This window comes from Homo sapiens, chromosome 3 (genome assembly GCF_000001405.40).
Source record: "Homo sapiens chromosome 3, GRCh38.p14 Primary Assembly".
NCBI classification, from domain to species: Eukaryota; Metazoa; Chordata; class Mammalia; order Primates; family Hominidae; genus Homo; species Homo sapiens.
Genome location: NC_000003.12, coordinates 128,158,822 through 128,172,546, shown reverse-complemented (window position 1 = coordinate 128,172,546; position 13,725 = coordinate 128,158,822). Strand labels below are relative to the sequence as shown.

Genomic DNA, 13,725 nt, shown 5'->3' with positions numbered 1-13,725 from the left:
CAGGAGGATCACTTGAGCCCAGGAGTTTGAGACCAACCTGCGCAACACAGCAAGCGCTTGGCTCTACAAAAAATAAACAAACAAAACAATAACTGCTCCCTACTATGTGCCTGAAGCTTTATTTATGGACATCTTTGATGCAACCACCCTGTGAGATAATCATCTGCATTTGAGGTGCACAGACAGGCTCAGAGAGGCCAGGTGGCATTTCCGCTAGACCCAGGCCACCCCTATGCATGGGTTCCTTCGGCCTGACCATCACTATGTCCTTAATGTGCTGGGCCTTGCTACCACTGCTGTTTTCAGTTAAACTCTCTTGGGTGCTAAAGTTATGGAGGCACCTCAAATCAGAAGTTCCAGGTTTGAGGAAGAGAGAGCAGAAAGATATGAGATCCCAATTCTTGCATAGGCTGGAATCTGGTGGGACAGGAGTTGTAAACCAATGCCACTGTCCTTTGTTATCTGTGGGGGATTGATTTGAGGACCCCTGAAGGACCAAAATCTGAGGATGCTTAAGGCCCTGATATAAAATGACAGAGTATTTTCATATAACTTATGCATATCCTCCCATATATTTAAATCATCTCTAGATCACTTGTAACTAATAAAATAAAAATGCTATGTAAATAGTTGCTATACTTTATTGTGTTTTTAAACATATCATTTTTTTGTTGTTGAATTGTTATTTTTGTTGTTTTCATTTTTTTTTTTTTTAATATTTTCAATCTTCAATTGGTTGAATCCACAGATTTGGAGGGCCAGCTATGTCTTTCTGGCTTAAAAGTCTCTATAGAAAAACACCATGGAAGAACTTAAAAAGGCAAATCATTATACAAAAGCAGACATGGCCTATGGTTCAGATAGAACATTGTGCCTCTGGAAGGCAGGGAGATCTCCTTTTTTTCTCCTGGAAAGTCCTTGCTTTGGTTAATACTGTGAACTTGCAGAAAAACAAAACTGAGTATAGAAGGGTTGATGACTGAAGCCCACATCTTCAAATGCTTTAAAAGTTAAGTCAGATAATCTTTACACTGATATGAAAGGGGGAGAAAATACATTTGACCCCTTGCTTCAAACAAAAATCTTCCCATCTGGTTTTTAATTAGAAAGCAGTTGTTTTGCTTTTGCAACACTTTTTAACCTCTGCCATTGTAGGTACAAGCCTGCAAACCATATTTTCATTGATTAAAAAAAAATTAAAAATAAACCTTGAAAGAAACAATATTTTTCTTTTTAAGGAAAAAAGATAGCAAGCAGCAATTTTTCTGAAGGGATCAGACACTTAAAGGCATCTATGGGAAGCCATCATGGCTGTGGCCTACAGTTTATTTTGTCTTGAAAAAGTCAGAGGTCATTTTAACTATGCTGACCTGTGAAACTACACATTGATCATCCCGATCCAAGACTGTAAGCAAATACTGCCCTCTTGTGCACCAAATAGTTCGGAGTCGGCATGGAGATGATTTCCACCCCACCGCCCTGTGGACAGTTTGCGATTGTACAGCTGGGTCTCCAGGGCTGGGAGATGTGTCAGGAAGAGGAGGACACACATCTGTTACCAGAGTGCTTGCTAAAGTGTCCCCAGATTGCCTTATGAGATAGATTTCAAGATAAGAGGAAGAGGGAAAGATTCAGCTGAAGAAATCAGACCAAACATAACTGACTCTTATCTTTCCTAGAAAATATTCATTCCTCGAAAAGAAACTTTATTGGTTGCCATAACAAGTTTTCTTATTATGTACTTTTAAAAACTTTTAGAAACTATTAACGAACCTACAAAAATGACTAAGTAGTACCTCTTTTTATCTAGGAAATCTTTGCCAGGAAAAGAGATTCTATTTGATTCTAGAGGGAAAAAAAGCAGGGAGTTAGGGGGATGCCAGGTTGCTGTTTCTCAGACAAATCCTCAAAAGTTGGCAACATGCCCTTCTTTCTGAGATCCCCCAAGCTGGGGGTGTTGCTGAAAGTATTATTTCCTCTAACCTATGGGCAAGGTTCTGTCACCAGAAGACCAAACTGGTATCCCAAGAAAGCTTTTTTTTTTTTTAGACGTGGTCTCACTCTGCCACCCAGGCTGGAGTGCAGTCTCATGCCTCAGCCTCTCAAGTAGCTGGGATTACACACGCATGGCTAATTTTTGTAGTTTTAGTAGAGACGGGGTTTCGTCATGTTGGCTAGGCTGGTCTCGAACTCCTGCTTCAGGTGATCCACCCACCTCCGCCTCCCAAAGTGCTGGGATTACAGGCGTGAGCCACCGTGCCCAGCCTCAAGAAAGCTTTAAAGGATGTAAACTACTGTTCCCTTGTGAAAGAATTTGAGAAAATCAACAGCAGAAAAATATGCATGCAAGTCTGAGGCTAGGCCATGCCTGCTCAACAGGAACCTCGGGCCAGGCGGGGGAGGCGGGGCGGGGGGTGAGGAGCTGGTCTTCCCTACAGTGAGTGTCCAGTTCTGGTTCTGAGGTACAAAAATTATCCCAACATCTGCACCCACGCCTTCACACTTCCAGGCACAGATCAAGACTGACCAAGTCCCATGCCAAACTTGTTTCTGGAGGAAAAAGAAAAGGCAAAATATGCCGCCTGCCCCACCGCCATGCATTGCCTTCAGCCCAAGAGGCAGCCCCGCAGGAAAGGGGATGGAGGGAAGCATGAAGGGCCTGTGCTCTGTGAGGCTATGCAGGGAAAGGAGCACTGACCAGGAGTGAGACGAGGTCTAGGTGTCAGGGGAATTTTATTTACAATTCTATGATGTTAGATACTTAGTATCTCTGATGTCTAATTCTTGAGTTAGTGGTTCAGGAATGTGTCCTTAACCTCCATGTGGCATTCAAGTCATAAGCAGCCAGTGGGCCAATGTTTAATGACCAAACACAATCACAGAGTTGTGAAAAATGTCTAATTCACTTTCTGCCAGGATTGCCTGCCAACGCTGATTCCACATCAGCCCATCCCTCTACCATGGAAATAAGGGGTTACAGTACCAGAAATAAGACTAAGGATGGATAAAGGCCAATAGGATAGCCATAGTGAGACCAGGCATATCCAGAAGGCTGGCCTGCCTTCTTCTGTCTCACCGTGTCCTATTTCAGAATGATAGGATGTGCCACGCTTATCTTTCAGCAAAACTGGGACTTCCAGAGAGTCCAGATATATGCATCTGTCCAAATATACCTGCAACACCAGGTCTGCTGTGTGAAAACCAGCTGATACCCTCTCACTCGTAGCTAGCCCCAGGAGATGTCCAGCCTCAGGACCCTCATGTGTGCTACACCTTTGGTCTGGAACACCTCCCAACATTCCAGGGACGGGCTTTTGTGCCACAGTTTAGCTTCAGCTTTATTGCTTCAGAAAGGCCTTCCCTGGCCTCCAAACTAAAGTAGATGCCCCACATCCATTAGTCCCTATCTGGGCATCCTGTCTTGTCCTGCTTAGCACTTACATAATTTATAATTCCGCATGTTTTATTTACTTCTGTACCATCTGCCTCCCCAACTAGACAGGAAGCTACATGAAAGCAGAAGCCACTTCTGCTTTGTTGACCACTAGAAACTCAACCCCTGGCAAGCAGTAGTTGCTCGGAGTTTGTTGAATGAATTAATGTCATGATCCACCTTTCCTTCTATACCATCTGAGCTTAAGGAATAAGGTCGCCTAACCAAATCTTCAGGACACTAAGAATCCTGGGAAAATAAATCAAAGAAAGCCACGGAACAAGCCAGATGTTCAAACAACTCTCAACCTGTCGCAAAGAGTAAGTGACAGAACCAGCAAGGAGATGCCTGGGGAGGTACCAGAGGGCCTCCCCTCTTAGGGTCCAGTTTCAAACACTGCACACCCATGACAACAGCCTCGAAGCCCCAGGGGGCCTATGACTGTGACATTTCACATTTATGGGTGTCTTGGGCTTCCTGTGAAAAGACACAAGAAGAACTAAAGGGTGAAACTGGCTAGCTGATGGAGGTGAGTGACCTGGTCTACAGAGGGATACTCACTCAGAAAGGCTCAGGCCAGCACCAGGACAGCAGCAGAGCAAATCTCTACCCTCTTGCCTCAGGGAGCCTTCCTCTCTCTCCCCAGAAAGTTTTTTTTACCATGCAAGCACTTGGTAATGGTATATGGAGCCCCAGGTTCACCTCTGGCCTCCCAGGTTCTTAGCAACCTGGCACTCCAGGAATTTTACATTCAGGAGGAACTCTGGACCCAGAACTAGTGATCAGAGACAGTGACCTCTTTTTGTCATGTAGTCAACAAACCCTGGGCAAAGCTGTGGCCTCCCACTGGACAGCTGGCACATTCCTCTGCCTCTGGAGGGCCTCTTCTCCCTTCACCCTCACAGACTATTTGCAGAACAATTACTGGCATCAGCCACAGGCTTGCATTACGCTCATTTCCCCATCCCCAAGCTCTGGGGCAAGTTTAAAAGTGCTCGTCCTGTCTCAGAGTCAGGTCTGAATTAATACCCTTCCTCAAAAGAACTCCAGTAGCAAAGTGAAAACAGACGCCCTAGACAATGCTCTTTGAAAGCCCCAGCAGGGACGACTGGTGACAATGCAGCCCTGGCTCGAAAAGAAACCCCAAGGTTAAAGGTTCACAGAGGCAGAAGAATTACCAAAGTACAACTTTGTTCAAATTTCCTCCGGCAGATTTAAACAACCAGGGTCAAGCTGAAGATTGCCGGCAAAAACCTATGAGACAACTCAGCCCCTTTGAACTGCATGGAGAAAGGAAAATATACGATCTGGGAGGGATCTATGTTATAGCTTTTAAAAATGTTCTTGAAAGGGTCACCCCTGTTAACTCAAAATCAGAAGGATGTTTGAGAACTGCTTCTCTAAAACAACAGGGCCGCTGGGCCCTCACTGTGTGCGGTGAGCTGCACTGAGGTCGCCGTGTTCCCGGCATTAGTGTGCTGACCCTCTGTGGGCCACGAAATTAACCATCAGCATGGCAGAAATCTGCTATGAGTTAAACTACTTTGCTACGCAAAGTGGCCTGAAAATGAAATATGAGGATTGAATTTCCATTGAAAGATTAACTTGTCTAACCTCAAGGCAAGCTTCCTCCACTGTTGAACTCTATTTGGCCAGTTGTTTAAAGCACCATAAGAGCATGGGTAATTGGTGCAGGCAGTGGGAAATGACCTCTTCATTCATTCATTCATTCCGATATGCATGCACCAAATATTTACTCTGTACCAAGGCCTGTCCTGGGCCCTCGGACATACAGTTGAATGCTAACAGGCCCCTACCCTCAAAGAGATCAAGTCCAGTGGAAAACATAATCCAGTAAACAGAAAAGGCATAAGATGGGGAGAAAATGAGATCATAGGGGAATGTGTAGGATGTTACAGGCCCTCAAATGAGGGTGACCTAATCTAGCCTGAGGAGGGTGGACAATGACCCTTCCCAGAAAAGTGCACGTAGCCAGAATATGCAGCATGAGAGAGCACAGTCTGTCTGTCCACAGACCTGCATGTGGTTCATTCGGCCTGGAGTCCTGAGATCTCAACCCCTCAGGAGGGGCCTCGTCAGCCAGCTAAGACTTAGTTAAGCCTTTATGCCAGCAGAGAGCAAACAAAGACTTCTACACAGGGAAGTAGTTTTTAAACTCTCTTCTATCCCTATACCTTCTGCGGGGGGTTGGAATCAAGGAGACTATGTGAGGGAATGCTGTACTCATCCGGCCAGGAACTAGCAGAAGCCTGTCTTCAGGTCGCAGCTGTGGTGATGGGAAATGCAAAGACAGAGAGCAAGCAGGAGGGAGAAGGCGTGGTGATGGATCCAGAGGCAGGTGAAGGAGGAGGACACACTGAGGAGCAGTTCAAGGGCCGCACCTTGGGAGAGTGGAGGTGTCCTTCACTAGGAAGGTGAAGAAGCTGAGAGGGTGGAATCTAAGGGCCTGTGGTAGTCACCCCAGGCCAGGACATCTCAGGAAGATGACAGTTCTTATAACCAAATCACATGTAGGGGACAGCTCAAACCCAACTCTACAATAGGGACACAGAACCTAGTCATTCCTCAGTCCATCCAGCCCTGCGCTGTCAAATACAGCAGCCACTAGCCACCTGTGCCTATATAAATTTAAATTAATTAAAATTAAATAAAACTAAAATTTCAGTCTTTAGTTACACTAGCCACAGTGCAAGTGCTCCAACAGCCATGAGGCTCGTGGCTGCCATGTTGGACCGTGCCACTGTAGAACATTCCTATCATCACAGAAAGTTCTGCTGGAAAGTACTGATCAAGCCACTGCAGAGATTTTTTAAAACACTGTTTTTTCCAGCCAAAGTGTCTGTCAGCCCTCTCTGCAAGGGCTGGGTGCTGATGGGAAACACGGCTGTGCTGTAAGCACCTCAGGGCTCCCTTCCAGTCTTCCTGTGGTCTACTTGTCTGTGAGGTCAGACAGCAAGTGCCGAAGAAATGGAGTCCTTCTTATGTAAAGTCTTTCCTCTCTAGAGCGTAAGTTCTGAAGATCATCTCTGAATGTCCCCTGGATCATCTTTTTAGAAAATAGAGAATGCTGAGAACACAAACCCGAGGGCCTTTACTGTTCATGGCGAAAGATCCTGAAACTCACCTGGAAATGACCACAAACAGGGCCATTTTTTCCTCAAGTGCCACACCGTCATGTATCTGGGAAGACTGAGCTCTAGTGCCAATGTCAAATGACCAAGGACAAGCCACTGACCCTCTGGAGCTCTAAGCAACCCAAATAAATCTATGGTAAGGGATGTAGCCACCAGGCCAAGCAAGGCAAGTTCCTGCTGCCAGACAGGGCAATGCTAGCAAATTTCAAGCACTAATTTTGAAAGAAAAAAGTCAGGTTTATCTTTAAGCAGCACCTGTGCATGGCACCAAATAAATATCCTCAGGAAGTAGGTTAGAGACAAAGGAAATTATTTTAGTCTTCCTGAAGGCCTCAAGACAAGAGAGGAATCATCACAACACAAGAGATATGGAAAGAGGGAAAGTCAACTTCTCTCTCAACAGCAAAAGTTGTTTTTTCTCCTGCCAAGAGAGGATCACCCACATTAACTAAGTCCTCCCTACCCACCCAACAAAGGCCACTTCAAAGCAGCAGGAGCCTAATCACACAGCACAAGAAAATAAAAGACCCAATTAACAAAAGACAAAAACTCAAATAATCGAGGGGAGAATAGAAGCAGAAATCTCTATTTTTGACAATTTGATTTATATATAAAGTGTTCCTCAGGAGCCACAATTTTCTATGGAAGCAGGCATGTGCTAAGGTCTGAGAGCAGCTTCTGGGCAAAGCCAGGGCCTCTGAAACAGAGCCTGGCACTGGCTACTTGTGCGCCCTGCAGCAAACTGCCTACTGCTCAGAGCCTCATTTCTAGTAGCTGAGCAATGTAGATGGAAACGCCTCCCTAGGAGACTGGCTGGGAGGATGCAGCAAGAGCCACGGGTCTAGAACAGTGTCCAGCAGACAGCAAGCGTTCTCCAAAAGTCCATTCTTTCATCTCCCTCCAAGAGGCAGAACTATCCCTTGGCCACTGCTCAGCACTGCCATGTCTGCAACCCCAGAGCCCCACTTTCCCTGCTGATGGCATCCGCCTTGCCTGCCTGAGGTGTCCTTCCTCTTCTCCTTCATCCAGCTGGGTCAGAAAGCTGAAGCTGGAATGATGAGAGGAATGACAGGCCCTAGGACCACTTGTCACAGTCCTCTCCTCAGACTCAGGGAGCTCACTAAAAGCCACCAGAAGCTTAAAACCTACCAGCCTTCCTCCCAGAAGAGACTCTCCCGGCTCCTGAGATCTGGTCCGGGCTACCCTCTGGAAGCTTGGCCTGATACCCCAGTCACACTCCAGCCCTCCCTTTGTCTCTAGGTCCTTGTTTACTCTGAGTCCTCTAGCTGGAATGCCTCCCATCTTCTAAAATGTAATATCTCAACCATCCTTCACAATTCCCACAAGCCAGTTGGACTGGCCTGTGACCCAGCCAACCTGGCCGCACCTCCTTTCACACCCCCCTGTGTGCAAGTGCCAGCCACCCTGACCACTCCCCTTCTTTAGCCAGGGCTGCTTCCATGCCTCTGGACTCTGCTAAGGCTGTTTCCTGGATCTCTCAGCCTGGAAATCCACAGGTCATCCTTCCAGGCCCAGCCGTGTGTCTCCTCCAGCAGGATTCCCTATCTGCCACCCCAGGCAGGTACTCACATTTCTATGCCCATCTCGATCAAAGCCCTTACCACTCCACATCTTAAACTGGCTGCTGGCACTGCCTGGCTTCCTCCTCCCTACTCGGGACTGTGAGCCCCTTGAACACAGGCACGACTGTGTATCTGCCCTCACGTCCAAAACAAAGCCATGCAACGTGTATGTGTAGAATCTCTGAGTGAGTGGAGAAAAACACCAAATGCAGCTCCATGTGGTCCTTTCCCACCACACAAGCTGCCGAAAGCCCTTAAAACAAGGCCTACCAGCCCAAATGTCTCCATGGGCCAGGCACATCACAGAAAGAGGAGGCAGCCTGAGGAGCACATGCCACACACTGTACACTTAAGATGGCTAAGATGGCAAATTGTACATTATTTATACTTTACCACAAGTAGAAATCAATAGAAATAGTTTTGTTTTTTTTTTTTTTCACAAAAAAATGCAATACTGGTTCCCAAAGCATATGCTCGCTTTGGGAGGCTGAGGCAAGAGGACTGCTTAACTTCAGGAGTTCAAGACCAGCCTGGGCAACATAGGAGGCCAAGCAAAAGTCGCCAGACAAAAAGGCCACATATTGTGTGATCTACTTATATGAAATGTCCAGGACCGGTCAATCCAGAGACATTAAGTAGATTCGTGGTTGCCTAGGCCTGGGAGAGGGGCGAATGGGGAATGACTCCTGGTAGGGATGTGGTTTCTTTATGGGGTGACGAAAATGGTCTAAACTGAGATTGTGTGATGACAGCTACACAACTGTATGAGTACAGTGAAAACCACTGAGTGTTCACTTAGTGTACACTCAGTGAAATGGGTGAATTTTATGGTATGTAATTTACATACCATAAAATTATTTTAAAAAATTATATAAACACTATATAAAATTAAAAATGTTTTTAAAATTATTATCTGCTGTATGCCAGGCTCTGGGTTGGCCCTAGACCTACAGAGATGATTCAGATATTGTCTCTACCCCATCAAGCTTCCAGGCTAATGGAAAGAGGAGACATGGAAACCAGCCATTGGAGTGAAGTGTTCACACCAAGAGGGATGCATGCTGTGCAACCAAGTCCAGAGCCTAGAAGAACGAGGACTCACTCCAGCTCCCTATCCTACCATGAGGCTGCCTCAGAAGTGCCAGGCTCTACCCCCACCAAGACTGGGCCTCCAAGATACCCAGAGTACCAGAGCTATAGATACCATCATTTTCCGCACATCAAAGCCTTTACTGGTAAAGGGGACACAGAATTGAGCTCTTAAGGTAAGAGTATCTCATCCCCAGCCTGGTTGAGGCTCCATCAAACAAAAGAATGACAGAAAGGGGAATATGTCTTAGGGCTTAATTTATGGGTTGTTTCCTGGGATGCCTGCCCGAATCCTATTCCAACCTGGATGGAATGATTCCGAAGAAAAACCCAAGAGACATGCTGATAGAAAACAAAGGGGATGCTCAGTGAAAAGTTTAAAAGCAATTAATTTTAAATGATTACAGCTTTACCGAAAGCTGTGGCTATGATTTCCTTCTGACTTTGATTATAACCTTCCAGCAAAATATTTGCCTCAAGAAGCCAGAGTCTTTGCATTATTTTCTATTCCTAGCACGACTACAAAAATATTCTTTGATTTAACTTTTGATATGTTTTGTTCTCAAGGGCAAGCCCCATGAGAAGAAAAATGTACCCCAACAGAATGAAATATGACTACCTGCTTCCATTTTTCTTTCCTGTTGGTTCCTGCTCAAATATTCTGCATTAATTTAAACTCAAGGCTGTGTCTCTGATGTTGCGCTACTCCCACACTGTCACCCAAGCTAAAGCAAAATCACCCGCTGTCCAGCGCCAAGAGAAGGTGCCGCAGACAAAGCTCAACTTGAGTCTCCTGGAGAGAGTTAAAGGCACTCCAGTGTATGGGGAGATCAGGTGGGGTCAGAGAGCAATAAGGTACCAGGCAAAACAAGAAAACTTGTACTTGAATAGTGGTACACTTTAGTGCTGAGTGAGGCAGACTCTATTGAACATAAGAGTCTTTGAAGCAAGTGAAGGCAAGCAACTCCAGTGTCAGCCTCAGCTTTAGTTGGTGGTAGAGGACGTCGAAGAAGCAGTACTGGAGAGTAGAATCTTCTAGTTATGGTGTGTACCTTTCAGTGAAGAAGAGAAAGAAACAGCTCTCACTGGATGGGCACAAAGAAACAGGGAACTAAGGCCTGATGGATACTAGGAACTAAAGAAGTAAAGCTGAAGAAAGCATTTCCACTTAGAACTCCTTCAAATATGCCTCAGTATTTTAGGACAAACATACATAATTACCACAATTTCACATAATATATTCCTACACAGATTCTCCTGAAAAGACTAGGGGTAAAGAAAACCAAAAGTGGTGTTTGGTTTGTTTGCTTTTGCATTAGAGTAACACCCAAATTCCTCAAGGACACCAAGGCCTACCTGGTCAAGCCCCCAGTATGTTATTTCTGCCTGGAGCAGGCTGCTTTCCGGGGATATGTGCAGATGCCTAACGGGTATCACAAAAAAATCTGGTTGAAATTCATTCACACACAAGAACCCCTTGTTTCATTTACGAGTCAAGAGAGGGCATCTGCAGAAAGAATGAAGGGCACACACCTCAATAAAACAGATGAAAGGGGAAGAGCCTTCTCCACATGGGCGCCAAGAACACAGAAGGCTGGAAAAAAGGAAAAGGCAAAGTCGCTTAAGTTTTACAAAGAATGTTCTCTCCAGGCTGCAGAGACAAAAATCTTGTAGGCTCTTGGATGTTTCTCTCCTTCAAGGAGAGTAACCTGAGTCAGACTTAGAAGTCTTTTGCAGCCCTCCTCAGCTCTTGGCAGGGAGGGCTCAGAGAGGGTCAGACCCACGCAGGAGGCACCGCTAAAATAGTGTGTACAGAAGGCAAGAGGTCCAGGCGACAAGTAGCAGTGCTGTTCATTAACAACCGAAACAAAAGACTGGGAGACAATACACTGTTAATCCTCACAGCCACCAGAGGACTATAAATTGCCAAGCCAAGATACCAGCATTTTTCAGCCCTCCTCTTTCCTGCCAGAGTTAGATTGAGGATGAGTCTAAGTCCCTCACACCCACCCAAGTCTTTAAAACATACATTACTGAATCTTTTTGAAGTTGTAACCCTGAAAGATTTATACTCTAAAATGGATTCAAGAAAAATACTGCTCTGAACCACTACAGGGGGCTGGAATGGACGGGTACACTTTTTCATTCACACTGAGAATGCCAGCGTATGGGCTGTGCAGTCAGATCAATATGGGTTCAAACCTAGTTCTGACACTTACTAACTGGGTTCCCTGACCTCTGAGCCATGGTTTTTTATCTGTAAAATGGGAATAGCAACTCTTACCTCCTAGGAATAGTGTGAAGATTAAACAAACAAATCAAAAAAACAGCATACAGACAAGCACTAAATAATGGTAAGTACAATTATCACTGTTAACCCCACAGCACCACTTAGTTTTATCTGTGGCCACATGCATCAAGGGAGATAAAACCCAATTTTCTCTAAGTTAAGATAGGATTCGTGTGTGTGTGTGTGTGTGCGCGCGTGTGTGTGCGCACACAGTGGAATTAGAGCCAGCTTTAATTTAAGATATATTAAACTTCAGAGATATCATCACAGAACTCAGACAACTGTTATAATTTCCTTCTCCTGGGAATAACATATTCCACAGGGGGTCTAAATCTTTCACAGTAGCAAGGAACTCTAACAAGAGCCCGATCTCCCAGGGATGCCAGGTGCAGGTGCAGCTAGAGAAAACCACACCTGCTGCCAGTGGGAATCCCTGCCCAGCAATCCTGCAACTTTCTATCAAAAGCTCAGCCCAATCATATCACACACCTGCTTTAACAGCCTTCCAAGGAGCTCCAGGACCCTTAGGAAAAATCTACACTAAGGGCCATTCTCTAGGGTCTGGCCCTGCCAACCCTTCTAGCTTCATCTTTAGCACACCTCCCACACACCACGCCGATTTCCAGCCATGCCTAAATGCTGGCAGTCATCTCTGATGTTGAGACACAATGGCATGTTTAAGGCTCAGAGCCTTGCCCTTGCCTAGGAAAGAAAAAGTGAGTTACTCCTGCTTTTGCCCTTGTGCAAAGAACTCCAGAAGATCACTTTGTACACAGCAGTGTCTTCCGGGTTCTGATGTAAGCTCCTAAAGGGGAGGACAAAGAACCAACCTGCATAATTCACTACAGGCCAGGCCCTAAGCTAGTTGCCTTCTGTCCACTAACCCACAAAGAAGGTTCTCTGCTCACTAAAACTGGCTAGCCCAGGAGCTGGTACACAGGCTTCATTCATCCAGAACTTACTAAATATCTATCCTATGCCAGGCTCTGGCCCAAGTGCTGAGAACACTGGTGAATGAGACAAACAAGGTTCCTGCTCTGGTCTCATGGAGCTCACATTCTAGCAGAGGACAGATACTCAACAAGTAAACACATGAAGAACGTCAGGTAGTGAAAAGGGCTGCTGGGGCAATGAAACAGGGACATGAGAAAGTATGAGGGGGTGAGGGTTGAAGAGACAACTTTAGATAGGTGGGGCAGGAGAGGCTGCTGAGGAGGTGCCATTAAAGCAGAGACTTAAGGAGCCAGATGTACCAAACAGAGGCAACAACAGGTGCAAATGTCCTGAGGGAAGCAGCTGGTGGGCCCACTGGAGGAAGAGAAATGAGGCCACCGTGACTGAAGGTCAGAGTGGGGAGCAGTCGTTGATGGGATCGTTGATGGGATCAGAGGAAAGCAGAGCCAGACCATTGTCCTATGGGCCACAAAGTGGCTGGATTTTACTCCAAGCACAATGAGAACTCACTGGAAAGTCTTGTCAAGTGTAGGGCTGACATGATCTGATGAACACTTGTAAAAGGAGAGCAATGCCCACTGTGCAGAGAATGAATCAGAGGGAGGAGGAGAATAAGCAGGCAGGGGGCAGAACTGTAGAAGTCCAGGTGCCATAAGCCAGGATGGCCTTGGGGGCCATTTCAAGAAGGCAAAGATGCCCACAAGTTTGTGGACCATGAGGTGAAATGAAGGTATTAACCAGATCCAGGTTAGGGGTGGCGGAGTTAGGTTCCAACACTAGCCCAAGGCACTTTGCTTGGGTTTCCTCATCTGAGAAATAAGGCTAACTAACACTCCCACCACACAGGGTGGTATTGCATAGATGCAAGTTCCTGGCAACAGGCCTGGGCCCGAGCAGGCACTCAATGGGGAACACCTTCTCTTTACAAGAAAAACATTGTTTTTTCTCAATTCCCTGAAAAGGAAGGTGGGTCTCTGATGTATTCAAGGAAGAATGGTAGCAGCCTTGGTCTCAGCATTCCATTCCACTCAGGCCATATTTTAAGAAGATAAATCTCCCTACTCCAGAGATGAGACAAAAGATAAGCAACAATGTACATACAAAAATAAGTTCTTCTACAGTTTTAGTCTAAATAAAAAACTTGCCAAATTCTTCAGGGCATTACAATTGGTTATATAGGACCAGGCAAGTGCTGAAACTTTTTTGCAATATGAAGAGCTT

General features: G+C 45.8%; 1 protein-coding gene across 10 annotated transcripts in view, besides 1 other annotated feature; it reads right to left on the bottom strand.

The window, feature by feature from the left end:
- EEFSEC (eukaryotic elongation factor, selenocysteine-tRNA specific) overlaps positions 1-13,725 on the bottom strand; it is a 272,743-nt gene that overhangs the window by 253,677 nt on the left and 5,341 nt on the right. The gene's annotated exons all lie outside the window — the stretch shown is intronic.
- Positions 4,247-4,541: a silencer, noted in NCBI's record as "tiled region #8761; K562 Repressive non-DNase unmatched - State 23:Low". NCBI's record gives its function as "represses a minimal TATA promoter and a strong SV40 promoter by Sharpr-MPRA in K562 cells {active_cell/tissue: K562}" and the evidence as "EXISTENCE:reporter gene assay evidence [ECO:0000049][PMID:27701403]".